The sequence below is a fragment of the Homo sapiens genome, chromosome 12, assembly GCF_000001405.40.
Source record: "Homo sapiens chromosome 12, GRCh38.p14 Primary Assembly".
Lineage (NCBI taxonomy): Eukaryota > Metazoa > Chordata > Mammalia > Primates > Hominidae > Homo > Homo sapiens.
Window position 1 is genome coordinate 3,177,054 of NC_000012.12, and position 26,498 is coordinate 3,203,551.

Below are 26,498 nucleotides of genomic sequence, written 5' to 3' on the forward strand. Positions count from 1 at the left end.
CAGGAGATGCGCCACACTCTTGCCAGCATTGAGTAGCCTTGTTTAAATAAAAAAAAAAATTTAAGCTGATAGGTATTTTGTCACTTAAAAAAATGTTTTTTTGAGATAGAGTCTCGCTCTGTTGCCCAGGCCGGACTGCAGTGGTGCGATCTCGGCTCACTGCCAGCTCCACCTCCTGGGTTCACACCATTCTCCTGCCTCAGCCTCCCAAGTAGCTGGGACTACAGGTGCCTGCCACCATGCCCAGCTAATTCTGTGTATTTTTAGTAGAGACGGGGTTTCACTGTGTTAGCCAGGCTGGTCTCGATCTCCTGACCTTGTGATCTGTCCGCCTCGGCCTCCCCAAGTGCTGGGATTACAGGCGTGAGCCACTGTGCTCGGCCAAGAAAATTTTTTTGAGATGGAGTCTCGCTCTGTTGCCCAGGCTGGAGCACAGTGGCTCAATCTTGGCTCACTGCACTCTCCGCCTCCTGGTTTCAAGAGATTCTCCTGCCTCAGCCTCCCAACTAGCTGGGATTACAGGTGACTGCCACCATGCCCAGCTAGTTTTTGTATTTTTAGTAGAGATGGGGTTTTGCCATGTTGGCCAAGCTGTCCTTGAACTTCTGACCTCAGGTGATTTGCCTGCCTCAGCCTCCCAAAGTACTGGGATTACAGGTGTGAGCAACCGCACCCAGCCTTAACCTGCTAGGTAAACAGTGATGGCTTGGTTGTTTTAATTTGGATTTCCATGATTTGTAATATTCCCAAGTTTACAACCAGGAAACAAAGAAGTGAAATTCCTAATCACAGAATGATTCAGTCAGAGCCCTCTTACTCAAGAAGGACAGGCGGGTGACGGCCAGTGTCCTCGTCCGCCAGGGTGTGAGGTCCTGTCGGCTGTGTCTGGGCCGTGTCTTGCCCGCCGATGGGTCTCTGGGCAGATGGTTAGCCCCTGGCCCTCAGTCGTGCAGGTTTCTGTTCTGCAGGTGGCATGGTGTCATGGGCACACAGGGCAGTGGTGTTTTCCTGTGGTGGTATTGATCAGGGATGGGTAGTGCTGGCCTTTCCCCGCTGTATGCTTTTGTATCTGCCATTCTTATCTTTTTTTATGAACTTTCCTCACCGTCTCCGCTACCCACGTATCCACTCCCCATACAGTGCTTAGCATAACAGCTGTGCTTTGTTTTTTCCCTCCATTTGCATTTCTGTCTTCAGCTGTGGCCGGTGACCCATGGAGATGAAGGGGTTTCTTTTTCTTTTTTTTTTTTTGAGACAGAGTTGTTTCGCTCTTGTTGCCCAGGCTGGAGTGCAGTGGCGTGCTCTCATTTCACTGCAACCCCTGCTTCCTGGGTTCAAGCGATTCTCCTGCCTTAGCCTCCCGAGTAGCTGGAATTACAGGCATGCACTACCACGCCTGGCTAACTTTTGTATTTTTAGTAGAGATGTGTTTTCACCGTGTTGGCCAGGCTGGTCTTGAACTCCTGACCTAAGGTGATCTGCCCGCCTTGGCCTCCCAAAGTGCTGGGATTATAGGCGTGAGCCACTGCGCCCTGCCAGATGAAGGGGTTTCTGATGCTCGTGCTTATCCCGGTGCCTGACGCTTAGTAGGCACTCCATAAACATCTCTTCTTCCCTTTCCTGAGAGTTTAGTTGCAGTTTTCACAAAATGTCAACGAGACGGGTGGTGTAGAACATTAACACTTAGAATGTGGTGTGTCTGGGTGGGGGTACAGGTGGGCCTCTGGTCGCGCTCACTTGCCCTTGGCTGTGTGGTTTGAGGGTGGGCTTAGCTGTGGGTCAGGCAGGTTAGCTTTCTGGGCATTCTGTGCATCTGCTGTGGGGGATCTGATGGACAATGGTGGAGACACCCTGTGGCTCGCGCCCATCCCCCTTGGTCCCCATCACATGTGGGGATCTGGTTGCTTATTCTCTGATGTGGTTTCTCCTGGGAGGGCGGAGGAATGAGAGTTATTCTGTAGCTTTTTCTGAAGAGGAATGTGTGATTTGAACAATGCTGGGCCCAGGATGCCCTGGATTCCTCTGTCAATGTTGGCATTAGACAGGAACTATCAGGAGCTGGAAATAGGCTGCGGGGCCCGGCCGAGAGGGCTCATTGTTTGTGGCAACCCCACACTCATCATCCTGCCTCATCCTGGAACCATGGATGCCGCAGACAGGAAGGCACCTCCCAAAGTCATCTAGGAAGGAAGGGACCATGCTGGGTGCATTACACACCCCGACACTCACCCCACTCTGACTCCAGGTGGGGTGGGGTTCAACCGGCCCAGGGTGGTAGCTAGCACCTGCTTCAGTCACCTGTTCCCGTCTTTAACAGCTCTGTCTTCTGCAGGCTTCCTGTTGCATTTTAAGCCCATTCCTCTCATTCTGCCCTAAGTGAAACAAGAGAGGAAGCCACTGTCCCCCTGCTTGGAGCCTTCAGATGCGTGAGGGCGTGATGTTTTCCTTCTGTTTTGGAGAACCAGCAGGAGGTGGTGTCTACTCTAGACATGTGAGGCAGACAGCTGAGTAGAATTTGTAACGGGTAAGATATTGGCTTGGTTTACAATTGGTTTTCTCTAATTTAATAGGTTAGGAAGGTATAGTTGTATTCTGAGCTAACATCATGCATTTTTTTAAACCAACATTGATTTGTTTCAGCAATCAAGTGATGAATCCATGAATAAAGAGTCCACATTACATATTGTCCATTCCAGATTTGGGGCACGATTCTCCCCATTTTGCAGGCGAGCATGTTAAATCCAGATTCTCAGCCAGAGTTCTATCTGGCAGATAGTGGTGAGATTGACGGACTCAGAACACATTTCCACTGACAAGACGTGCACCGTCTCTTCTCACGGTACACGTAACGTTTTGGCACATCTCCATCTTGAGAGTGAATCCCAGTGTATTTCCTGCAGCTGGTAAAGCTTCCTGGCCAGGTGCAGCTCCTTGCAGAAAGTAAGCAGCTCTGAGTTTCATACCTAGAAAGTGCGAATTCTCATGGGCGGTCTACCCATGTTCCAAGACTTGTGGGCCATTCGTGTCACCATTAAAGACCCAGGGCATTGTTTCTCCAAACATTGTAATTCAGCGCACACACAGCTACACCTGAGAAAACGTTTCATTAATTAATTCTTATCTTTACTGTGTGAGATACCTTCTGGTGTTTTCTGTTTTATTTTTAAAAAATACTCTTCTGGGCTCGGCACAGTGGCTCACACTTGTAATCCCAGCACTTCATGAGGCCAAGGTGGGAAGGTTGCTTGAGTAACATAGTGAGACCCTGTCTCTACAGAAAAAATAAAATTAGCCAGGATGGTGGCCCATACCTGTAGTTCTAGCTACTCAGGAGAATCACTTGAACCTGGGAGTTGAAGAGTGTAGTCAGCTGTGATTGTACCACTGCACTCCAGCCCAGGCAGCAGAGCGAGATGCTGTATCTAAAAGAAAAAAAAAAAAGTCTTCTGACCCACTCAGCCGATTTTATAACCCAATAATGGGTCACAGCCTGCAGTTTGAAAAGCATGGATTGAGGGGTTGCTACAGATGAAAGCAAATGGAAACAATTAACAGGTTAACTTATTTGGCTCACAGTTAAATATCTGTTATAACTCAGATGCTTTATTTCTTGAAATTGGATTTTCACCTTCTTTATTTTCGTCCATGTTTCCAGAGTAAGTGCCTGTCACCTAGGAAGCTTGGATGGGCCCTTTTTAACAAGGTCTCCATCACCTTAACATCACCTTTCTAAAATAAATTTGATCTTGAGACAGAGGTCTTAGGATCTTAGGTTAACAGGATTATTTTTCATACTAAAATGATAAACAGAGCTCTGACTTGTGAATCCACGAAGTTATTCTATTTTTCTGTGCACCTGCTGTGTGCCAGGCGCTTAGGTGGTGCTAGAGGTACCGCACGGCTCAGATGTAGGAGTTCAGGGCCCTGCATTTTAGGGAGGGCACTGGTAGACCAGGAGGGTCAAGGAGGAGACTGGACAGGGGGCTTCGGCATGAGTCACAGTGGAAAGATGGGTGGGGGGGATGTTTGCTTGGGGAAGAGAAGACTCGGGGCCCATGGCACCATCTTATGTGCGAGCGGCTGGCGCCCGGGAGAGGAATTAGGCCTCTGCTTTACTACTCCAGAGGGGAAGACTAATTGCATTAGCCAGAATCATGATGGGGATGATAATTAAAAGAAATATTATCTACTGTGTATGAAGTGTGGTGTGTGCCAGGCACGGAATCGGGCCCTGGACGTAGATCATCAACTGTGTGTGGTTGGACATTTATTGTATCCATAATTCAGACAAGGAAACTGAGATGCAGAGAAGGAAAGTGCCTTGTCACGGGGCAGAGCTGGGATTTGAATATGATAGGACTGATTTGACCCATGTCTCCCTACCACCTCATCCGCATCTCTCAGGCAGAAAGTGGAGGTAGGCAGGTGGGGGCCCAGAATGCTAAGGCAGTGCCCATGGTAGTGAGAGCTGAGAAATGACAGCAAGGCTGCCTGGTGACCTCTGGCCTGTGCAGAGGGGAGGAGATTGGACATAAGTAACACCTAATGAGCTCATTTCATCCTAGGACAGCCCAGAAGGGAGGTGGGCTTTATGCCCCATGAAGCTCATGGGGTTAAGTGACACGCCCAAAGTCACATTGTCCCTAGGAGATAGAACTGGGACTCACACCTGGGCCTTCTGACCCCAGCCCTCGTGCCCTTCCCTCTGCCCTGCACTGCCTCTTACTTTCTGTGATTCACTTCATCAGTCTTTTCTCCAGATTCATTTTACCTGCTTCTCCTTGCTCCTTTGCTGTATCTGACAGGCCACCTGCAGCGTCCCATGGGTGCCTGAGCTCAAAACTGGAACCACAGCCAGAATCCAAGCTGACTGAGAGGTGTTCCCACAGTCAGTGTGTGGACATGCACGTGCACATGTGTTGTGTGCTTGTGTTTGTGTGTTGGAGGCCTGTGTGCCTTGGGAGGGGGCTTTGAGGTCTTTGGAGGGCCCGTGTGTGATGTAGGGTAGACAGGAATTTTTGGCAAGTTGGGGCTGGTGGAGAAGGCTGTAGCCCCCTGGACCCCCGGCCCCCAGTCAACCCTCCTGTGGGGCGCTACCAACCCTTTCTGAAAGGTGGGCTGGGAGGGAGCAGATCAGGGAAGTTAATTACTCGATTAATTCACCCAGATCAGACTGGCTTTCTGCTTGGGGGATGCTCTGCTTGATGGAATGAAGAAACTGCTAATTTGCTAATTCTGGTTACTGATGGAGGGTGGGGGGCTTCAGGGTTTTGGAGGTAGGAAGGCTGTTGCTGCGCCCACCCGAGGCTGCCTGGGGCCCACAGCCTCCTCTGAGCTGATGGCCTTGTTCTTGGCCTAAGGTGAGGGAGCTCTTTTCTCTTTCTCTTCCTATGACTTTCTTCCCTCTTCCTACCTTTTTTTTTTTCACTAGATACCACCAGAAAAGTTGGCCGGGCTGCAGTTCATTCATTCGTCTGCCCATTCATTCATTCAACAGTGCTATTGAGCAACTGGCACACGACTAGGTTGTGGGAGATGCTAAAGGTAACTCAGCAGGAATACAACTGGCACCCCATTCTCTTGCAGCTGACAGGTCTGTCCGCAAAGAGAGACCTGCCCCTCAGGCTGTCAGCCAGGCCATGTGATTGAGAGGCAGTGAGGGGGAGAAAGTGGGAGGAAGTTGTGTGTTGGGACCACCAGGCGGGGATCTGTGACTGGGCCATCAGCCTGAGAAGCCTCCATGCCAAGGGAGGGGAGGCTAATTGGAGCCTAGAATTGGGGCAGGCAGAGAGGTGAGCCAGGCCACGCAGCCCTCCCTGAGGCTGCAACAGCCAGTCAGGAGCTGAGCACAACACAGAGTGGCGGAGACAGGGTCAGGGCCGCATGGTCGGAGACAGATGCCCGAGGCAGGTTGAGAGCTGTCTCCGGGACTGAGGCTCGGAATACTGGGGATCTGCTCTGTCGGCTTTGCTGGGGTTAGGGCGTACCTGAAAGTGAACAGTCAAAGGCAGAGCTAGCGCCATTGCTGATGACACATGCAAGTAGGAGCACCCGCGGTGGCCAAGTGCTCAGAGAAGGCTTCTGGAGGGGTGGGGGCCCCAGGGTGCCATAAAGAAAGGCCACTCTGGAGTGATTTCATGCTGCTTCTTCCTTTCCTTTCTCTTCCACTGCATCCCTCTGTGCTAGGCACATCTGGAATATGGGCTTGGGCTGAACAGAGGGATTTAGGCAGATCTGAGATCTGTCCCCTCTCAAAGTGGGGAGGGGAGATTTTGGCCAGGATTTTCTCCGCAGCTGGCGTGACTTCCAGTTCTTGACAGAAATGTGTAAGGGTTACCTTGGCGATTAGGTGCAAATGTATCTTCAGGGAGATGAACCCAAGGACAGCAATGGAGGTTTTATACCCAGAGAGGCTCTAGTTTGGGGAGAGTTGCTGGCGGAGGTAGGAGATTAGCTGCTGCTTGGTTAGTGAAAGGATGAGCCAGTCAGATCCAGTCAACAAAGAAAGCAGGGGCTCTCAGGGTTGAACACAGTTCAGAATCCCCCACAGAGCATTCACAGGGCAGGTTATCAACATTCTGCCTCCAGATACTTTTAGGCCAGAGTGGGCCCCAGAATTTGCATTCATCACCAAATACCCAAGGATTCTGGAGCAACTGGCCTGGGACCCACGCTTGGAGAAGTAGTTTTAGAGGGAACTCGGCATTTGGGAAAGAACACTGGACTAGATGTATGAAGACCCGGGTTCCAGTCTACTCGGTGATTGGCCTCAGGTGTGTGCCACTTCACCTTTGGAATCTTTTTGTAAGTTGGGTACAATGATGTCTGCTGCAGTGACTTCCTAGGGCTTTTGTGATGGTCGCGTATGTGAAATCCCTTTGAACAGCATACATTTTTCTATAATTGCAGGCTGTTGTCATTGCTTCTACAGTTATAATAGAAATGTCCAGAAGGGTCTGGATTGATTGAAGCCAGGGAAGGGAGGGGGAGGGAGAAGTAGACCAAATGATCTCTGACGGCCCATAGCTTCTGGGATCTTCCTTCAATAAGAAAATCCAGCCAGGCACGGTGCACACCTGTAATCCCAGCACTTTGGGGGGCCGAGGTGGGCAGCTCGCTTGAGTTCAGGAGTTCAGGAGTTTGAGACCAGTCTGGGCAACATGGCAAAATCCCATCTCTAGAAAAAATACAAAAATTAGCTGGGCGTGGTGGTGCACACTTGTAGTCCCAGCTACTTGGGAGGCTGAAGTGGGAGGCTCACTTGAACGCAGGAAGTGGAGGCTGCAGTGAGCTGAGATTGTGCCACTGTGTTCCAGCCTGGGTGACAGAGTGAGACCCTATTAAAAAAAGAAAAAAAGAAAGAAAGAGAAAGAGAGAGAGAGAAAGAAAGAGAGAAAGAGAAAGAGAAAAAAAAGAAAGAGTCCAAGGAATGTCCCTCTTCCCCCAAATCCAGGTAGTGAATCTATTTCTTTAAGGTGTGGGTGCTGGTTTGGTCTTGAGAGAGACAGGTAGCAAGGGGAAAGGTAGCAGGGCTCCCCGATGATAGCACCGTCTGGATTTCCTTCCTCTTTCCCTGGTGCTGATGTTGCTTCAGCTGAGCGATTAGAGCCACGGGATGCTGCCGGGAGCCCCGGGCATGTGTGACCCGTCCTGCCCTGCATGGTTTTGCTGACGTTCTGCGGCATGAGGTTGGGGATGGGAATAGCTTGCACCCGGAGTTCCTGTTCTGTGCGTTCCTTCTCAAGCCAGCTCTCGGAGGCTTGGGTGTCCATGGCAGAGCAGGGTTGGAACAGGGCCTCTGTGTTGCACACCTTCAGGGGGCACAGTTCACAGGGAATGCAGTGTAACTGTCCTGCTGGAGTGGTGCAATGGCAGACTTCCTCCCTGGCCAGCAGGGAGGCATCCTTGCTTTGTTACTAAACTCCGCTGGTTCCTTGGTTCTATAGTCTCTATTCTGTTTCAGTGTGCAATGAGGTCAGCAGAAACACAGATAATAACGAGGCTCATGATAAGAGTAGTGAAGACTGTGTTCTCCCTAGACCACTTCCATCATGTTTGGTTTCAGCATGCATTTGGAAGCAGTCATTTAATCAGCAAGTATTTATTGAGTGTGGCTGTGTGCCTGGCACTGTGCACAGTCACTGAGGGGAGACGGGGCGGGAGAAGGGAGTTGGGGGACTCGGCGGATAAGCTATCTCAGACAGTAGCAGGTTAGCTCCTTTCTTTGGCCTGTGCTTTTGGTATCTGTCTCATGTTGTTAGCACTTGGAAGATGGGTGCTGTGCTTGTTCTAGCTTTGCTGGAATTTCTAGGGGTTGGCAGGGTGGGGCTAGGAGTCATTTTGCTGTGGAAACTCAGGGGGTCACTTTCAGAAATGGAATGTAGGCGTGCCCAATGCAGCTCCTGACTCACTTTCCCCATGGCTGGTGGATTTGAGGGTGGGCCTGGGAGTTTCCAGTCTGTGTAGAGAAGGGGTGGTGGTAAGGGGATGACCAGTCTCCCCCTTCGGAGCGCCTCAGGTCAGCACTCCTTAGTGAGTTTGCTTCCCTACCTCCACCCCGGCTGCCAGCCTGCTGTGGCTCTACGTGCTGCAGCTGGGCCCGCAGAGCTTAAAATAGCAGCGTGAGCTGGCCGCTGGGCATGTGGGGAGCCCGCCTGAGGCCTGATGGGGCAGCCGCCTGGGCTTGGGGCTCTACTGGCTTTAACCACTGGGGTAGAGAGTGTTTTGGGGGGTTTCTTCTAGGCCCAGAGCTGGAGAATGGGGAATGGATGTAGCTGGAGTTCGGGTGTGGCTGGTGCAGAGGGGAAGCAAAGGGCTTGTCTTTCCTAGACCTTTGAATAAAGGGAATGCCTCGAACCTGACCTTGGAGGCTCTCACTGTGGAGCTCAGGGGCCTTCAGACTTGGTGTTCTGTTTGGCCTTAGCTCCGGCCCTCGGTACTGCCCAGGGTTAGCCATGTAGGGTCCCATTAGAGGCTAAATGAAGTGCGAAGGTGGGATGGAGGATGCAGCTGTGCCAGGTCACAGATGTCAGGGCCAGGGCAAGAACGCAGGTATCCTGAGTCTCAGCTGGGCAGGCGCTAACTACAGGGCTCCCTCACTCGCCAGTTGCCTGCTCTTGGGAAGCCAAGATGGCACCTAGGGGTTTGGGAGAGACCTTTCCCAGGCATTCATACATTCTTTCAAAAATACTTACACCTGTCTTGTGTGAAACTGTTCGTAGCTTTGGGAATACAGCAGTAAGTGAAGCAGAGCAGGAGAAGAGAGATGGAGTGTGCTGGGGGAGGTACAGTTTTGAATGGGGTGGTCAGGGAAGGCCTCATGGAGAAGATGCCATTTGAGTGGAGGTTTACAGGAGCTGAGAGGAGTGGCAGTGCTGAGATCTAGGAGAAGAATGTTCCAGGCAGAGGGGACAGCCAATGTAAAGTCTCCAATGTAAGAAACAGCACAGAGGACAATGTCGCTGGAGTGGAGTGAGTGGGCCAGGAGTTTGTTTGTGTGTGTGTGTGTGTGTGTGTGTGTGTGTATACACACAAGTTCTTCTAAGAACTTTGTCTTTTTCTTTGAGAGACATGAGAAGGCATTAGGGGGTTTTGCACAGATCAGTGGCATGGTCTCACTTAAGAGACACGATCACTGTAGTATAAGAGCTAATTTCAGTTGTGTTTTTCTTGGGGAGGCCCCAGGAGACCAGACAGGGGGCTGCCCCATCCTTTCCCTATGACTCGTCCAGCCTCTGTTTCTATTCCCCAAGCTCTGACCTGAGACTTTTACTCCTGGGGAGGAGGGGGCAGGATGGTGCTGGATTTCTTTTCTCTGCCTGGAGTTTCTTTTGGAGGGAGGGAGATGGGTTTGTTACAGTTGTTTGCTGGAGCCTACTTGTACTGGTTCTTGAGAGCCTATTAGAAAGTAATTAGAACATTTGCCTGCCAGTAGCTTGAAATTGGCTGTGGTGGGAGTACTTACACCATGGCATTGGCAAGCGCTCTGAATCGGGGCTTTTCCCCTGTAGAGCTGATTGTTGAACGTCTGCCAGCCCACCACTGGATTGTTACCTCTACTCTACCTGTGCTGTGCTTTCAGAGGGGAGGGCCTCTGTTTTCTTTCACTTGGCAGATCACCTGTGTTCATGCCGTGTGGTCAGAAAGAGCACAGGGGACACTGGATGAGGGTGATGAAGGTTGGGGTTGGCGGGGCAGTGGTGTGTTTTCCAGGATTGGCAGGGCTTGTCCTTTGGTGTTGTGATGTGGGGCGTCTCTGCTTTTCCTAGCTGGGTAATCCTAAATGCATGAGTGTCCTCTCAGCCTGCTTCCTTCCTTCCTCTGCCTGCCTTTGTGCAGGTGGCATGGGTACGTGTATGTCCAGGAGTGGCCAGCTTCGTCCATAAAAGCAGGGCCCAGCACTGGACCCAGGTAAGGCCGCTTGGTGTAAGGAAAGATCACTGTTTTCACTGTTTTGGAAGTCAGGAGACATAGGTTCCAGTCCCAGCTCTCCTTACTTGCTTAGACGAGTGCTCTCCCCTCTTTGGCCCTTTGTTCCCTCTTTTACAAACGGAGACAACTTCCCTGCTTATCTTGCAGGGGTGGGTGAGGGCCAGATGTGATCATTAGTGTGAGAGCCCCTCAAAAAAGCTGCAAGAGTCACCATGAACAGGTCTTGGCTTGCGGTATTCAGGCACGCAGGCCTCTCTCTCCTCTGTCCTCATTCTGTTTGGATGCCATGCAAGCCCAACACGTACCCCTTCTCCAAGAAGCCCTTCCTGATGGGCCAGACTCTCCCTGGGCAGGTCCTCGGGGCACTCCCAGGCTGAACCTCCAGTCCTTGCATGTACTCAGGGGTACTTCTGTCCCACCCTTTCATTTGATTGCTCTTTGCCCAGATGCAGATGGAGCGTTTGCTCTGTAATGCTAATTCTCCTTGGCAGCATCTGCAGTGGCAAACCCAGGGTGGCGTACCTATGGGTGCTGGGGAACTCTGCAGGGACTGATTCATCAGCATAGGTGTCTCGCTTTTATCGAGCTCCTATGAAGTGTGATGGCTGGCTGTGGTGTGTGGGGGTGAAAGGTTCCAAAGACAAGTGCCTCCCACTTGATAAAGTAGTTTCCCAGACACTGCCTCATCTGTCCCTCATGGTCACACTTAACCCCATTATACTGATGAGGAAACAGAGGCATGCTCACATTCATTCATTCATTCATTCATTCAAGACATGTGTCCTGCACTCAGGGAGCTGTCAGTGTCTCCCCGGGTTCCACAGCACTGGGGTGGCCTGCTCTGTGCCCTGCCAGGCTCCTGCGGTACTACTGTGCTTGCTGTGTGTTCATCTCTGCAGGAAGCAGACAGAGCGGCAGGGGGAATATGCATTCATGGAGGGATGGGGGCTGCACCAGGGTGCTAGTCAGGTACCCGGGCCTGGGTGGCAGAGGAAGGGAGGGGGCAGCATCAGTGCCCAGGGTGTGTCCCTGCTGTGTCCGGCTGGCCGTGGCTTCGGGCTGGCATTTCCTCTGGCAGCAGTGTGGGGGAGGGGAAGAGCAGGTGTGCCCTGGCGCCTGGCCTGGCTGGGATGTGGAAGCGCCTCTTGGGGCCGGAGCTTGGGGGATGAGTGACGTGCAGCCACCTGGACACATTGGGCCTCACGGAGCCCAGCCACATTCTCAGAGCTCCAGGCTGGACATCTGAGCCCCCCGGTGGTTTCTGTAGATGGCTGGATCTGGTGGGTGACTCCAGAGAGGGCCTCCAGAGAGGACTCATGGTGGTGATCTATCAAGGTGAATACCTCCCAGATAGGCCGAGGGCAGTGTTAGAGGGTGTCCGATACATACACTGAGGTGAGTATGTGTGGTGAAGGTGGGGGTGAGGCTCGGGGGCTCTGTGCATTGTGGGAGGGACTCAGTTTCTCTTTAGTTTCCTAAGTGTGCACCATGTATGGGGCTGCGCTGGTTGCCGCAGAGGAGCGCGGGTGAGCTCTCCCCGCTTGGAGCTTCTAGTCTTGTACAAAGGAAAAGCATTTATGCAAATAGCTGTCATGCAATGCAGAGTAAAATCAGTGTCCAAAAGAGATGACTAGAACAAGAAGAGTGCCTCTTCATTTTGGGGGATCTTTCTTGGAGGATGTGGCATTTGAGATGAACCTTGAAACATCTCCTCAAGGCTGAGCAGGATGGGGGAGGCTTCGGAGGTGGAGGGCAGGTGCATGCAGGCACAGGGGTGGGCTGCACCTTGAGGGGCTGGTGTTGCTGGAAGCAGAGGGCACAGCTCTGGGATTTGTGGGGAAGAAGGCTGACAGAGTACCATGTAGAAGGGCCCCAGTGACAAGCTTGAGTATTTGTGTTTAAATCCCTGGGGAAGTTTTTGAGCTGATGGCATGTGCCAAGCTCTGCCTTGGGCCAGTACTAGTGGCAGCATGTGGCAGGGTGACTACAGAGGGAGAGGGTGCAGGGAGCCTGGTCAGGAGACTGGCAGACAGGAGGCAGCCCAGTCACGTGTGACTGGGTTACAACAGGAACAGACCTGGGCTGGAGCAACCTAAGAGCCTTTGAAAGCACCTTTTGGGACTGTAAGAGGCTTGGTAGCCTGGATGGCTGATTCGAGGGTGTGAGTTGTGACTATTTTCACCTCAAGTACCTTGAAATGAGAAAAGATGCCTCCAGGTTTCAGACGGGCTGGATGCCTTTAGGAGGCCCCTTCAGTGGGAGGCACCTTGAATGACAGCCCCATAGCTATGGGCCAGCCTGATGGGGAGGAGGGAAGAGAGATGGAGTGAGACGACAGCCAGTGCTCCTGTCTTACTTTACAGAGCAGCCGATGGCAGTTCAGAGGCCACAAGTGACTTAATGCACTGCGGGCCTTCGAGCCATAAGACAGCCATTAGGGATGCCCAAGTCTGTCCCTGCCACCCATCCAGACACCTCTCACTCTATCAGCGAGAGTGGAACATGCACAGGCTCCCTCCCATGAGGGCTGCAGAGCAGTGTGGAATCTGGGGCGCTGGTTCTTCTCCATCTTCTTCACTTTACAGCACCCCCAAGTGCTGCTCACACACTGCCTTCTTCCACATTGGCTCTAGTACCAGCCCCGTAGAGGGAGAGTGGGCCGAGGGAGGCAGCAGGCAGCAGCTCCTGAAATCAGCAGAAGGGTCCCAGCTGCACAGTCAGGCTGGATGTGAGGTTGCAGAGCGCCGTCCCAGCTGGCAAGTCAGCACCCTCTGTGGAGTGGTTTAGGAATATTGGATTTGCTGGGTCAGTCCATTTCCACTGGTGCATGGTAATAAGTCGCAGGCTTCATCACACTTCCGTGTGCCCGGCGGTCTGCCTTATCTCATCCTCCCCGCAGCCACCTGCCTTCCTTGATAAGTACTAATAACAAATGCCTTCTTTCTCCTGTTTTCCAGGAGCAGTGGGCTCAGTGTGTGCATATGTGTATGGGCAGGTACATCTGTCTGTCCAGCACAGTGGCTCTTACTCCAGGCCCTTTTGAGGATCTGACAGGGATGCTGATTGGCCTTAGGATGAAAGATGGGCTGCTTTGGAACTTTCCTGCAAAACAGGGCCTGAGAGCCCAGAGTGGGTGACTCTTTGTCCAGGCAGACTATCAGCCCCGTTCTTCTAGGGCCCAATCTCTGCTGCCCCCTCTTATCTGGTAAACCTTCTCTAAGAGGAGATGCCTGTCCTGCAGGAGTGGCCATTCTAACTCTTTTTGTAAAGCTTGCCCTGCTCCAAGCAAAGGCTGATTTTTCTAAAGAGCTGCTCTCACCTTAAGGTGCACACAAAGGTTCTTCCTGTTGCTACTCATGCATTTAGCAGTGACTTTAGAGCACCAGTGTGCTAGACAAATGCCAAGTGCTTAGAAGACAAAGAGGAGGGACACAGTCCTTGCATTCAAGGAGCTCACAATTTGGGAGCGGGGGAAGGTCAGGGAACAGGTGGCATCATGGCAGGATTAACTATGCGTTATTGGTATACCAATGAGGCTTCCTGGAGGAGGTGACAGCACCCTGATGCCAACTGGATTGTGGATGTTAGCCATTCGGGGTGTGGGGGAAAGGGGGTTTCAGGCGGAGGGAGCATCCAGTGCAAAGGCCAGGGGATGAGGGGGAATTTGATGTGGGTTAATTTGGTGGGAGTGTAGGCCAAGAAAGGTATAGGAGAGGGAGTTGCTGAGAGGAGTGGGGTGGGCAAGCACCTGTACAGATTTTAAACTGGCATCCAGGGTCATCTGTGCTCTGGCCCACCCTCCTTTCAGGCTCCCTTTCTGCAAAGCTTCATTCCAGTGGAGCGTGTGGGTGCCTCCCAAATGTCCTGGGCCCTCTGCTGTGCCCTGGCTCTGCCCAGCTGCCCCCCTGCCAGGGTGCTCTTCCCCTTCCCCCCTGCCTGTCCAGTGCCATTTCATAGGGTGCGGATTTCAGGGCTCCAAGGAACCTTAGAGAAACAACTAGTCCAGTCTGCTTGTTTTGTAGTTGAGGAACCAGAGGTTGAGCAACTAGAGGCCACACAGGTCATCAGTGTCCTCAGGCTTTGTTCCTTAGGTGGCACGAGGTGATCAGACACCTGGAAAGCCCCGGAAGCCCTCCCTGCTGGCCCTGCCTGCCCTGTGCCTGCCCTCCCTTGAGCTCCTCTGCATGTGTTCATCAGGTATTGATTGGGCCCCTAATGTAGGTCAGGAATAGTACTGGGTACTGGGTGTAAAGCAGTGAGGGAGACATAGGCAGTCTCTGCCTTTCTGGGGTTCATGGTCTAGTAGAAGAATCAGATAGTAACATTGTCACCCTAACAAACATGGATTTTCCAATGATGGTGACTGCTATGAGAAAAAAAGGGGCAAATGGTGCTGTGAGGAGTTGTATTGAAAGAAAGGGGGCTTTAGTTTTGACAGTGGGGGGCAGCCAGAAAACTAGAATAGACCTTCTTCAATAATTCACAAGAGCTCAGGGGTGAGTAGAGTGAAGCCAGGCAGTGGGTCCAGGAAGAGCATCCAAGCAGAGGGAACAGCATGGGCGGAGGCTCTGAGGAGGTCAGAGCACCGAGAGTTCACGGCTGTGGCAATAATGGGTGAGCAGAGAATGTTGGACGGGGGCTGGAGAGAAAGGCAGGGATCAGTCATGCCGGCCGTTTAGGGTTGCTCTAAGGATTTGGACTGTACTAGAAAAGTAGACTAGGAAACACACAGGCACACACACAATTGTAATCCAAGTAAGATGGGAAGCCACTGATGAGGTTACAGTGGAGAGGCACATGAGTGGGAAGATTGCATTGGCTGCTCTTGGTGAATGGGTGGGCGCAGGAGGGAATGGAAGGCTGCAGGGGCTGCCGCAGGACCCCAGGCGAGCCATGAAGCAGGGCTGGACAAGGGCGGGGACGAGGAGGATGCCAGGTGCAGGGAGGCTCTGCGGCTTGGACTTGTGTTTGCTTCGAGGTGGGAGCAAGTGACAACCGGGAGCCAAGGATGAGTCTGAGGCTTCTGGCATAAGCAGTGGGGTGAAAACTTAAGCCATTTGTTGAGAAGGAGCGGATAGTGCCAGGGAGCACATCCGGGGCAAGGTCAGTCCCTCCTGGAGCTGTCTGGGAGACAGCCAGGGGGATGACAAGCAGGAGTTGGGGACCTGTGCTTGGGGCTCAGGAGACAAGTCAGGTCCAGGTGTGCATTTAGGGGGTCAACAGCATGCAGATGGCCCTGGAACGGAGGAGATGGTCATATAGAGGAAAGTTGGGCAGAAGAGAAGAGGGCTCAGAGCTGAGGGCCTCCCTGAGGAGGAGGAGGAGGGCAGCCAGCATTTCCCTTAGAATTTCAGCCACACAACATTAGCTATTGATGATGTTTCTTTCTCTGTTCAGCTACACTGTAGCTAGACAGGAGCTGGTTCCATGTTGACTATAATAAGTATTGTTGGGAATGATAATAGTGCCTCCATCCATTGAACAGCTTCTGTGTTCCCTCGTAACCTTTATTCCTTATTTTTTTACATAGTGCTGGGGAAGGTGCATATTATTTCCATTTTCTAGCTGAAGAAACTGAGATATGGAGCAATTAAGTGGTCATTCTAGGCATCCAGCAGTGGGGTAACTCACTCTAGATGGGATTTGGACACAGATTCATCTAGTCCCAAGGCCCAGAGTGTTCCCCCTTTGTTATTTTACTAGAGTTTTGTTCTCTGTGGTTGAGTTGGATAGTGGTATGGACAGGGGTCATTGAAGGCATCTGAGCCCAGCTGACCCACAGTAACCAGGGCATGTGGTGTGAGCCGATTTCGGGGACAGTGGGAGTGAGGTTGGCTTTGTGACAATCCACACCACCTGCCTGGCTCCTCATGGTCCAGAAGCCACATTTTCAGTACTCCTGGCTGGGGCAGGATTGCTGTAGCTGGTTTATAGCTGTGCCCGTGTTTCCTCGGCGCTAAGCTAACTGATCTTTCCGAAGGCCCCAGTACATGCTCTGAGCAGTGTGCCCACCTGTCGTGGGTAGACTGTACACACAGCCAAGGGTCTCTGCATGGCCATGTTTTCTGGTAGCCAGAAGTGGCCTCTGACAAGGGCTGACCGTAGCCGGGGGGCAGCTTTGCTCTTGGGCTTTGAGAGGTGACACGCAACACTAGGGAATGTGTAAGGGTTCACCAGAGACTTGGAGCTGGGGCAGCAGTGCTCCTGGCTGTGCTCCGTGGAGCCCCTCCAAGAGGCCCAGCCCACTCCGAATGGGCAGAGGTCGAGGGGCTGCCTGTCCCTGACTTGCTCCTGTCTCAGTCTTCTCTTTTTTCTACCTCAGATCTTTCCCACTTCTTCCTCCATACATTTGTTTATCTGTCCTTCTGTCTGTCCATCCATCCATCCATTCCAGGCTGTGCCACGTGCTGGGGATATGGCTGTGAGTGAGACAGCTGACCGCATGGCATTTGCACTCTTATCTGTAGCTGGGTGTTTCAGCTTGTCAGGTTCAGACGCCCTTGGATAGCCTGCTTTCCAGGAACAATTCCATAGATTTCTGGCTTGGGCCCCATCCTTTAGTTAATGAACTCAAGGCTGTCAGGCTGTCCTTGAGGAGAGCTCAAGATTTAGGCACGCTGGTCTGCCTTTCCCCTCCGTCCTCCAGCACTTCCTGAGTACCTGCTGTGGGGTGGTCACTGACAGGCACTGAGGGGTGGGGTAAAATGACCCAGACACAGCCTCTGCTTTCTTATAGAAGCTCAGTGACTGGAGCAGAGGCAGGTGGGCAAACTGTAGTTGGAGTCTGAACAAAGGGCCAAGAAGGAGGGAGGAGCAGACCTTTCTCCAGAGAGGGAGGTACCCTGGCCACCCTTTGTGTCCCTCTGTCTGTGAACTTTCCCACCAAAGCCAAACCCTGCTTGTTTTTTTCTTTTCTTTTTTGAGATAGGGTCTCACTCTGTCACCCAAGCAAAGTGTGGTGGCACAATCATGGCTCACTGCAGCCTCGACCTCCCGGGTTCAAGTGATCCTCCCGCCTCAGCCTCCTGAGTAGCTGGGACTACAGGTGCATGCTACCACACCCAGCTAATTTTTGTATTTTTTGTAGAGATAAGGTCTCACTATGTTCCCTAGGTTCATCTCGAATTCCTGGGCTCAAGCGATTCACCTGCCTTGGCCTCTCAAAGTTTTGGGATTACATGTGTGAGCAACCATGCCTGGCCTTTCTTTTCTTTACTAGTCTCAGAAACTTAAAAAAACAAACAGATTAAAAACAAGTAACAGTACCATTCCTTCTTTTCTACCCCAACCCTTTCACCATCGATGTTACCGTCCTTCCTGAATCACGGCCAAGTATGGTAACACCCAATCTCCTAGCCCCTGCCCTGTAGCCTCCCCCCACCATGTGGGCCCCCTGCTAGGGATCTCTCCATTGTTCTCTTTTGGCACGGTTGCTAAATGGTTTGCTCGGCAACGAAAGCATTTTCTGTACTGTACAGTGGAAGAAGATCCCAAATTTGGAGTTTAAAAATTGGGGGGAGGTGAGTAGCTCTCCCTTCTAAAATGGTGCCCGTCTCACAGGCTCTTTTGGGTGGCAGTCAGCGCTTTGTGTCTAACCTGAACCCTGGCTTTGTGGGAGGCTGCCTTGTTTGAGGCTTAAAGGCACAGGGTGCCTCACAAGCTGTACCTTGTGTCAAATGTGGGAATATTCAGCATGGGTCAGAAAGGGGCTGTGGGCTGGCCCATTGGTTCTGATTGTGTGTGGGTGAGGGAGAGACCAAAGACTGAGCCCTGTCTCATGCTGCCAGCCTGAGGAATTCACAGAGAGGCAGAGAGAGCTTGGCATTTACTCCAAAGCCCACATCTCCCCAGTTGCCAACCAGCAGAGATGTGGCATGTTGATTTCATTTATTCACTTTTCTTCTTCCCCTCTGAGAATGCTGTAGTTACTTCACTTTTTTTGTTAAAAAAAAAATAAAAGAAAAGTGAAGTCAGGCTGCCTTGTTCACATGCTCAGAGAGCCCCCTGAAGGGCAGCCTGCACCTGCCAGCTTGCCTGGGTGGCAAGCTGAGAATGATCGGGAGCTGCCAGAGGGATGATGTCTCACAGCACCATTTCTATCTGATTGTTCCATCTGTACCCCCAATCTAAGGAACTGAGGCAGCCACAGCCACTGGTCTTTTCATCTCTTGCCTCTCCTCCACCCCGATGCCAGTGCCAGGCCCAGCTTCCTAGGGCACCGGTTAATCATGGGCCCCACTGCTTGGGACCCTGCAGGATGCAGCCCAGGCTTTTCATATGCCATGCAAGGCTTCACAGGGTAGCTCACTTTGACCTCTAAGCACCTTCTCTTGCTTCAGTCAGGCCTGTCCCCTCCCTGCCTCCCGAAGGTACCACACTCACGCCTTTCTAGGGTGGCCACCCACTTCAGAGAGCCCTTCTGCAAGGGACAGCTCGGTGCCCATCCTGCCACGGTCTGTGCTCTGTGCATCAGTCTGCTTTGGGCTTCTCTAGCTGCAGTCGTGAGTGGGGGTAGAAGGTGGGTCGCTTCAGCTAGATCTGAGCTCCTTGAGGCCCACGCCTTGTCTTACTCAGCTCAGCTTTGTGTCTTCCGTGGGTCCTTGTTCCGCGTCCTCTTATCTTGAACAAACCAGCACCAATGGATGGTGTGCTCATGGTGAGAGAGGGAGGAGGAGGGACGTGTTCCTAGAGCTGCCTTCCTGAGGCTGCTCTACCACCTTCCCCCTAAGATAGGACTAGATTACGCTGCGTCTCCCCACACCAGCTTCCTTCTTCCAGCCTGTGTCAGGTAACTCAAGGCCATCTGGGTGATGACTCGCCTTTCTTATTAGCAGTCCAGGAGCACTGCCCCTTCCTCAGGGTCCTTTCATCTAATGACATCACATCAGGACATGATATTTCAGGTTCCCCGTTGTGCTTTAAGAGTCTGTTAGCCTGGAAGATTCTTAAGGGCAGAAACTTGTAGAGTCTAAGAGAGTGTGGTGCATGGGCTGTGAAATCAGTTTTCTTTTCTGTAAAATGGGGATAATAGGGTGTACCTATCTTGTAGGGTTGTTATGAAGATTGAGTGAGTTACTTTGTGGGAAGCTGGGTCCCTGGGGTAAATAAAGACTTATACGTTAAAGTTGCTTTTATGATTCTGATGACTAAGCTGAGTGCCCTGATGGGACTTCACTACAGCTTTGCTCAGGGACTGACAGGTGTGACTTCAGTGCCCTTTGACAAGTGTGACCAGAGGAGGCAGAACTGTTGCATTGCAGCCTCCACTTCCTCTCCTACCTGCCTGTTGTTTCCCCTACCTGCTGGGGACCATCCCAACCCCAAGGCCCTCAGACTTCTGAGGAAATGGTTAGTGGCACAAATTCATTTATAATCAGAAATGAAGATGGAAAGATCCAGGGACAATGAGGCAACTATTCTGCCTGGACAAAGTGTGAGCTGGGCAGAAGAGATGAAAAAGGGTTAGGAAGTGGAGGGGGCCACCCTGCGAGGGCCCTCCGTGACACCAGGCCCCCATCTGAGACTGGTAGGATCAGCCCCTCCAATTTGTTCAGTCTCATGTCCTCAGACTCTCCTCACATCCACCAACTGACTTTATGCTTGTAACACCTCTAGGGGGTAGGCTCTTTTAATCCCCATGTTAAAGAAGAGGAAACGGGAGCTCAGAAAAGCAAACTGCCTTGCCCTTGATCACACAGCTAAAAAGAGCTCAAAGTGAAAAACAGGTCTCTTGACTCTTGGTCCAGCTGGTAAATGATCTATCCCTGCATCAAAGAAGTAATGTTGTGAGAATGAAGCGGCAGCCGTGGGCCCCTCAGGAGCGGCCAGGTGAGGCTGCAGAGGACAAAAGGCATTAGCCATGCCAGTCAGGCAGCCCTGATGCTACATCAGGAGGCGACTAGACATCTGCCCCTTCATCTCCAGACAGCATCGGTGGGACTGCTATGCCGAACCCAGAGAGAGTAGCTGCTGGTGGCTGTAATACACACTAGGTTTTATTCTTGGGCTCCCCATCTGAGTTGGGAAGGGGCTCAGGATGGTAAAACCACTGCAGTTTCCTTTAAAGTAGGGGAGCTGCACTCAGAATGGGAGAGCTCCACTCAGAATGGGAGAGCTCTCACCTCTAGGAGGCGGGCCTGCCAGGGAGCCAGTGAGGCTGCAGGTTCACCAGCACAAGTCACCACCAGCACAGGTCACCACCAGCACAGGTCACACCAGCACAGGTCACCACCAGCACAGGTCACCACCAGCACAGGCCACCACCAGCACAGGTCACCAGCACAGGCCACCACCAGCACAGGTCACCATCAGCACAGGCCACCACCAGCACAGGTCACCACCAGCACAGGCCACCACCAGCACAGGTCACCAGCACAGGCCACCACCAGCACAGGTCACCACCAGCACAGGTCACACCAGCACAGGTCACCACCAGCACAGGTCACCACCAGCACAGGCCACCACCAGCACAGGTCACCAGCACAGGCCACCACCAGCACAGGTCACCATCAGCACAGGCCACCACCAGCACAGGTCACCACCAGCACAGGCCACCACCAGCACAGGTCACCAGCACAGGCCACCACCAGCACAGGTCACCACCAGCACAGCTCACCACCAGCACAGGCCACCACCAGCACAGGCCACCACCAGCACAGGTCACCACCAGCACAGGCCACCACCAGCACAGCTCACCACCAGCACAGGCCACCACCAGCACAGGTCACCACCAGCACAGGTCACCACCAGCACAGGTCACCACCAGCACAGCTCACCACCAGCACAGGCCACCACCAGCACAGCTCACCACCAGCACAGGCCACCACCAGCACCATCAGCACAGGCCACCACCAGCACAGCTCACCGTACCAGCACAGGCCACCACCAGCACAGGCCACCACCAGCACAGGTCACCACCAGCACAGGTCACACCAGCACAGCTCACCACCAGCACAGGTCACACCAGCACAGGCCACCACCAGCACAGGCCACCACCAGCACAGGTCACCAGCACAGGCCACCACCAGCACAGGTCACACCAGCACAGGCCACCACCAGCACAGGCCACCACCAGCACAGGTCACCACCAGCACAGGCCACCACCAGCACAGGTCACACCAGCACAGGTCACCACCAGCACAGGCCACCACCAGCACAGCTCACCACCAGCACAGCTCACCACCAGCACAGGCCACCACCAGCACAGGTCACCACCAGCACAGGCCACCACCAGCACAGCTCACCACCAGCACAGGCCACCACCAGCACAGCTCACCACCAGCACAGGCCACCACCAGCACAGGCCACCACCAGCACAGGTCACACCAGCACAGCTCACCACCAGCACAGGTCACACCAGCACAGGTCACCACCAGCACAGGCCACCACCAGCACAGGTCACCATCAGCACAGGTCACTACCACAGCTCTGTGATGAGGGTCTGGAAGTCCCTCTGGCTGGAATTCATGTCCCCCTCCCACCATGGCCATGCCTGTTGTGGTAGCTCTGTGTCTGCCCATTTGTGCTGCCTTGGTGATTAATGCCCTCCTGTCTTCCTAACTGGATTGTGGCTCCCTGAAGGGCAGGGAGCCCCACTTCTCATATCTGTTTCTTCGAGGGCCTGGCCCAGGGTTTAGCACACAGTTCTAGGTGTGACATGAATACCTGCTGGGATCCAGGGAGGACTTTTCACACCCACCGCCCCAGGTAGGACATGAATTCTTCCATCCAGCCATCCCTATTGAGCACCTCCCAGAGGCCAAGCCCTGTGGTAGGGGATGGGGTTACAGAACCTGGTAAAATGTGGCTCTTGCCCTCGGGTGCTCTCAGTACTCTCTTCCTGAGCGACTGGAAGGGTAGCAGAAAAGAGAGGTGGGCTCCCCACCCGCAAGTCTTCTAATCCTCATCATTTGCAAAGTGTGGTGTCCCGGTCGGCAATGCAGACTTCTGCACTAGCCCAAGGGAGGCTGCCCAGTTGCAGTGCTTTACGGTAGGATGTTCCCAAGCCCCGAGCAAAAGCTCGTTTCTCTGACCTCACGGGAGAGCACCCAGACAGTGGCCAAGGGCACCCCTACATCACTCTTGGCACAGGCGGGGTGAGGAAAGGCAAGGTAGGACCCCGCTTCGTCCACCTGTCCCTGTCAGCCTGCCTGGGGTTCCAGCCGCCGCAGCGTCCCAACCGAGAACGCGGGGCAAGGGTTCGCGCAGCTGCAGGAGCCTGGCGGAGCGCCTTGTGTGCGCGCCCGTGCGTGCGCGCCGAGGGGGCGGGGAGGGCGGCGCGCACCCCGCAGAGGCCCCCGGCGCTTTCCGATACCTCGCGCCTCCCTGCGGTCCCTTCTCCCTGTGCGCCCTAGCCAGACCCACGTGTGCAAAGGCATGGAGGGGGGCGTGTGTGTGAGAGTGTGTGTAGGTCTATCCGGGAGACCGCGTGCCCTGGCCGGACAGGCCCCCAAGTGCATAGGGGGCGGCGGCCAGCTCGACAGCGGCCGCGCTTCTGTCCCCCTCCAGTCCTTCTCCCCAGACCTTTCCTCTGGCTTGCTTGGGCCGTGGGTACCTCCAGCCATCCCCCTCCTTTCGCCGCCCCCTTGCTCGGGTAAAAGAGACCAGCGCTTTCCGTTGAAGGTTCTGGTTCACCCCTCAGCTGCAGAGCCCTTGACATTTAGCGAGTGCTCGCGGCGCACTTGTTTAGGCACACAGCAGAACGCTAATCCCATTAAAGATAGTGTGTCATTGGGGAGGGGGTGGCTCCCCAGCGGGGCCGGGAAGGCCTCGCGCCCATTGGTCGAATGCAAAGCAGGGGGCGGGGCCGAGGGCCCGGGGAGGGGGCTCCAGGCGATTTCAGAGTCGCGAGTCGGGGCCGGGATTTCGCAGGGAAAGCCCAGCGGTTGCAGCTGCGGCGGATCCCTCGGCACTGTCCGCCGCGCGCCGGGGCAGCCCAGGGCCGGCGGCAGCTCCGCAAAGTCGCGGAACGAGAGGAGGCGGAGCGCCGGCCAAGTGGTGGGGCTCAGCGCTGGGGCTGGGCTGGGCTGGGAGAGGTGTGCCCAGGGAGCCTGGATCCCGGTGCCCTTCTCCCTCGTGTGGAGCGGCCAGTGCGGCCAGAGGCGAGCTGACGGCCTGGAAAGAGAAATCAAATTGCAGCCTCCCCAAAGACGCTGAGTTACGCGGGCGAGCCGGTTCCCGGGGATCGTTCGCGAGCGCGCAGAGAGCCGCGCCGCGCCGCAGAGCCCTCCCGGGGCCGCCGGCCAGAAGCGGGGCGCCGTCCGACAGGCAGCAGCCCCTGGGCGCGGGGTTCGGCCGCGAGTGAGCCCCTGTGCAGAGAGGGGGCGTGCAAGGCTCCGCCGGCCCCCCCGCAGCCCGCGCCCGACTTGGGCGCCCCCTCCGTCCCATTCTGGGAGCGATGCCCCCCGCTCCTCGCACCCCCCGGGAACGCCGCGAGCATGGAGAAGTCGAGTAGCGAGGATTCTTCGATCCATCGGAGTCCATCTTTGGACAGCAAGGACTCGGACTTTGCCAAGCCGTCCACCTCCGGCCGCCCGTTCGGCCGCGGCTTCACGGCCGGCGCCTTCTACGGCACCGCGGGCTCCCGGGGCCAGAGCCGCGCCGAGGCCGGCGTTAAGACCGACAAGTGCAATGCACCCAAAGGCAGCAAGTACGTGGTGTTTTACCTGGACCTGTCCTTTGTGTTCCTCCTAGAATTTAAGAAGTGCAACATGGCCAGGGGCTGCCTCTGCTGCTTGAAGTACATGATGTTCCTCTTCAATTTGATATTCTGGGTAAGTCCTTCCGTTTCTCTCTCCCTTCGCCCTCTTCTCCTCCTCTTGGCTTACCATAGCGTGAATACCCTCTCCCTCTTCTGTGCTGCATTGCTCTGCTCTCTGCACAGTGGTAAGTGTGCTTTTAAAAAAAAATTGCCCCCGCCCCCCTTTCATGCACCTTTGTCTTTCCTTTCTCCCTCTCTTTGGTGGCTGAATGGGGGCTCCAGCTTGCCTGTCTTCAGGAGAGACTTGCTCTACTCCTAGGAGGCTGGCAAAGTTTGGCACCACCTCCTTCCCCTATAAGAAAACCCAGGCTGGAAGTGCCTCCGACTGGGCAGCCTGCAGTAATGGCTGTGGGCTCAGAATTTGTAACAGCTGTGAGCCTGAGTTGGAGATAGGCACAAGTGAGGATGTATTTCTGAGTTTCTTCTTGTATTCCTCCTGAATGCACAAGAATACAATCTGCAGCATTTTATGGGAGTGGGTTGGAGGGGGGCGGGGTGTAGAGGCCACATGTTCCCACTCCTTTCGGTGAATCCTAGGAAAAAGAGGAGGAGCCCCTGGCTCAAGCCGATGGACCTGCTTGCTAGTCCTCAGATATGCTCCCGAGTTGGGGCCTGGGTGGGAAAGGAGGGGTGTGGGGGCATGCTGCCATCGGGTGGCTGGCTGCTGCTTTTGAGGGATTGCAGTGGACCGGGCAGGGAGCTGGCTGGCCACGTGCTTCCAGGTTCTGGGAGCCCCAGTGGCCGGAAGGGACAAAGGGAGACAAGCAGGGTGCCCCTGTCCTTGGTGAGAGGCACTTTTGTAGAGAAGGTATGAATGGGTAGGGCAGCTGGGAATTGCTCTCTGTCCTCTGTGTGACTCTGGAGGCTGTGCGCACATATGTGCACGTGCATAAGAAATACTGGTTAGGAACATTTGAAAACTTCTTAAATTCATCTCGAATCGTTCCTTCATCCCAATTGCCGTCTCTGCCTTTCTTCACCCAAGCCCCGACGTAGCACAGATGTTTGGCTCAGTCCCAGAGTCTGTCCTGCCCTCTGGAGGCTGTCAGCTGCCCACTGCCCGTGGTCCAGGAGGAGCACTGGGGGCAGGAGAAAGTCATTCAGAGTGAAGTTGGGAAGAAGCAGTTGTGCCGAAGAGGCATTCAGCTTTTGTGTGGAGTGATCCACATTAGCCGAAACACTTTTTAGGGTGGGGGTGTGTGTGGAGGGGTGACTTTTCCCATAGAATGACAAGCGCAGGAAGAAGACTGGGCTCTAGTCTTGGTTCTGCATTAGCTTCTTGTGTGACCTTGGGCAAATCACTTGGTCCCTGAAGGACTGGGCTTCCTTTCCAGTCCAATAGGGGCTGTCGTGATGGTCTCCCTGCTTGTCCTCACGTCACTAGTTACATGCCATCTGGGGTGGGGGCAGGCATCCTCATCTTCTCTCTTGGGGAGAGAAGCCCCCCTCCCTGCCTGGGGTGTGGGCTGCTTTTCCAAGGAGACTGGTTTGAAGTGACTTGAGTTGGATTCCCCTAGTTGTCACCATGGGTTGGGCCCTCCAGCCACCCTAGTAGGAAGTTACCTGTCATGTGCCTAGAGTTTTATGGAAGCTGGGGCAGATAGTCTCATTCTTTTTCTGGTGGCAAGCACCACTGGAATGTCTCTGGCTGCCTTGTGGGCCAGTGCCTCCTGGTCCTGTGACCCATCTGCCAGCATCTGTCAGCCAAGTACTGGTGTGTGCTTCCCTGGTGCCTTTGGATTCACACGAATGCTGTCCTTTTCATTGTTCACAGCTTCCTTCTCCATTCTTTTTTGTAGTCTCAACTTACCTTTTTGTTTTGTCCCACCCTGCCTATATTAAGCCTTATTAGGAAGACAGACCCTGGGGCTTGTAACCCCACTCAGCTGCGCTCACTCCTCCCCACCCCCACCCTGCCACCTGCTGGCCGGAGTTGGTATAACTGCCTGCGGTGCCTTTCTTCTCCAGGATGAGCCCAACGTGGTTTGGTGACCTCCTCACTGGCTAGTACAGTGATCTGTACCCTGCACGTTGTAGGCCCTCATTATATGTTTGTGAATGAATGCATGGAGGGCCAGAGCTGTAAATCCACAACATGTTGTCATGTGGTAGTGGTTCCTGAGTTCCACTTGATGGGGAAGAGAAGTTAGATCTCACACTTGCCTCTGATAAAGGCTCTCCGAGCGCCATAGCTATGGGATGACAAGCAATTCTTCCCATCTTCCCTTAAAACCTTGGCAGAGGTTAATGAGCTAGTTGGTGGAATATATTTTCGTTACGGTTGATAGCGAGAGAACTTGCTGTCGCT

The 26,498-nt window shown here is 53.8% G+C and overlaps 1 protein-coding gene across 8 annotated transcripts in view, besides 3 other annotated features; it reads left to right on the forward strand.

Moving 5' to 3' along the window:
* Nucleotides 1-26,498, forward strand: part of TSPAN9 (tetraspanin 9) — a 209,181-nt gene that overhangs the window by 99,675 nt on the left and 83,008 nt on the right. For 7 of the 8 annotated variants that reach the window (XM_047428125.1, XM_047428128.1, XM_047428127.1 and 4 more), the window contains one exon: nt 24,124-24,203. In XM_047428125.1, the coding sequence (XP_047284081.1) occupies nt 24,141-24,203 (63 nt within the window). In that variant the 5' untranslated portion in view covers nt 24,124-24,140. Of the gene's footprint in view, nt 1-23,297; nt 24,204-26,498 lie in introns of those variants that run through there. The other variant, XM_047428124.1, reaches the window with a different exon arrangement.
* Nucleotides 11,502-12,012: an enhancer, noted in NCBI's record as "H3K4me1 hESC enhancer chr12:3297721-3298231 (GRCh37/hg19 assembly coordinates)". NCBI's record gives its function as "activates a minimal SCP1, AML or CMV promoter by ChIP-STARR-seq in primed H9 embryonic stem cells {active_cell/tissue: H9 hESC(primed)}" and the evidence as "EXISTENCE:reporter gene assay evidence [ECO:0000049][PMID:30033119]".
* Nucleotides 20,579-21,117: an enhancer, noted in NCBI's record as "H3K27ac-H3K4me1 hESC enhancer chr12:3306798-3307336 (GRCh37/hg19 assembly coordinates)". NCBI's record gives its function as "activates a minimal SCP1, AML or CMV promoter by ChIP-STARR-seq in primed H9 embryonic stem cells {active_cell/tissue: H9 hESC(primed)}" and the evidence as "EXISTENCE:reporter gene assay evidence [ECO:0000049][PMID:30033119]".
* Nucleotides 21,118-21,655: an enhancer, noted in NCBI's record as "H3K27ac-H3K4me1 hESC enhancer chr12:3307337-3307874 (GRCh37/hg19 assembly coordinates)". NCBI's record gives its function as "activates a minimal SCP1, AML or CMV promoter by ChIP-STARR-seq in primed H9 embryonic stem cells {active_cell/tissue: H9 hESC(primed)}" and the evidence as "EXISTENCE:reporter gene assay evidence [ECO:0000049][PMID:30033119]".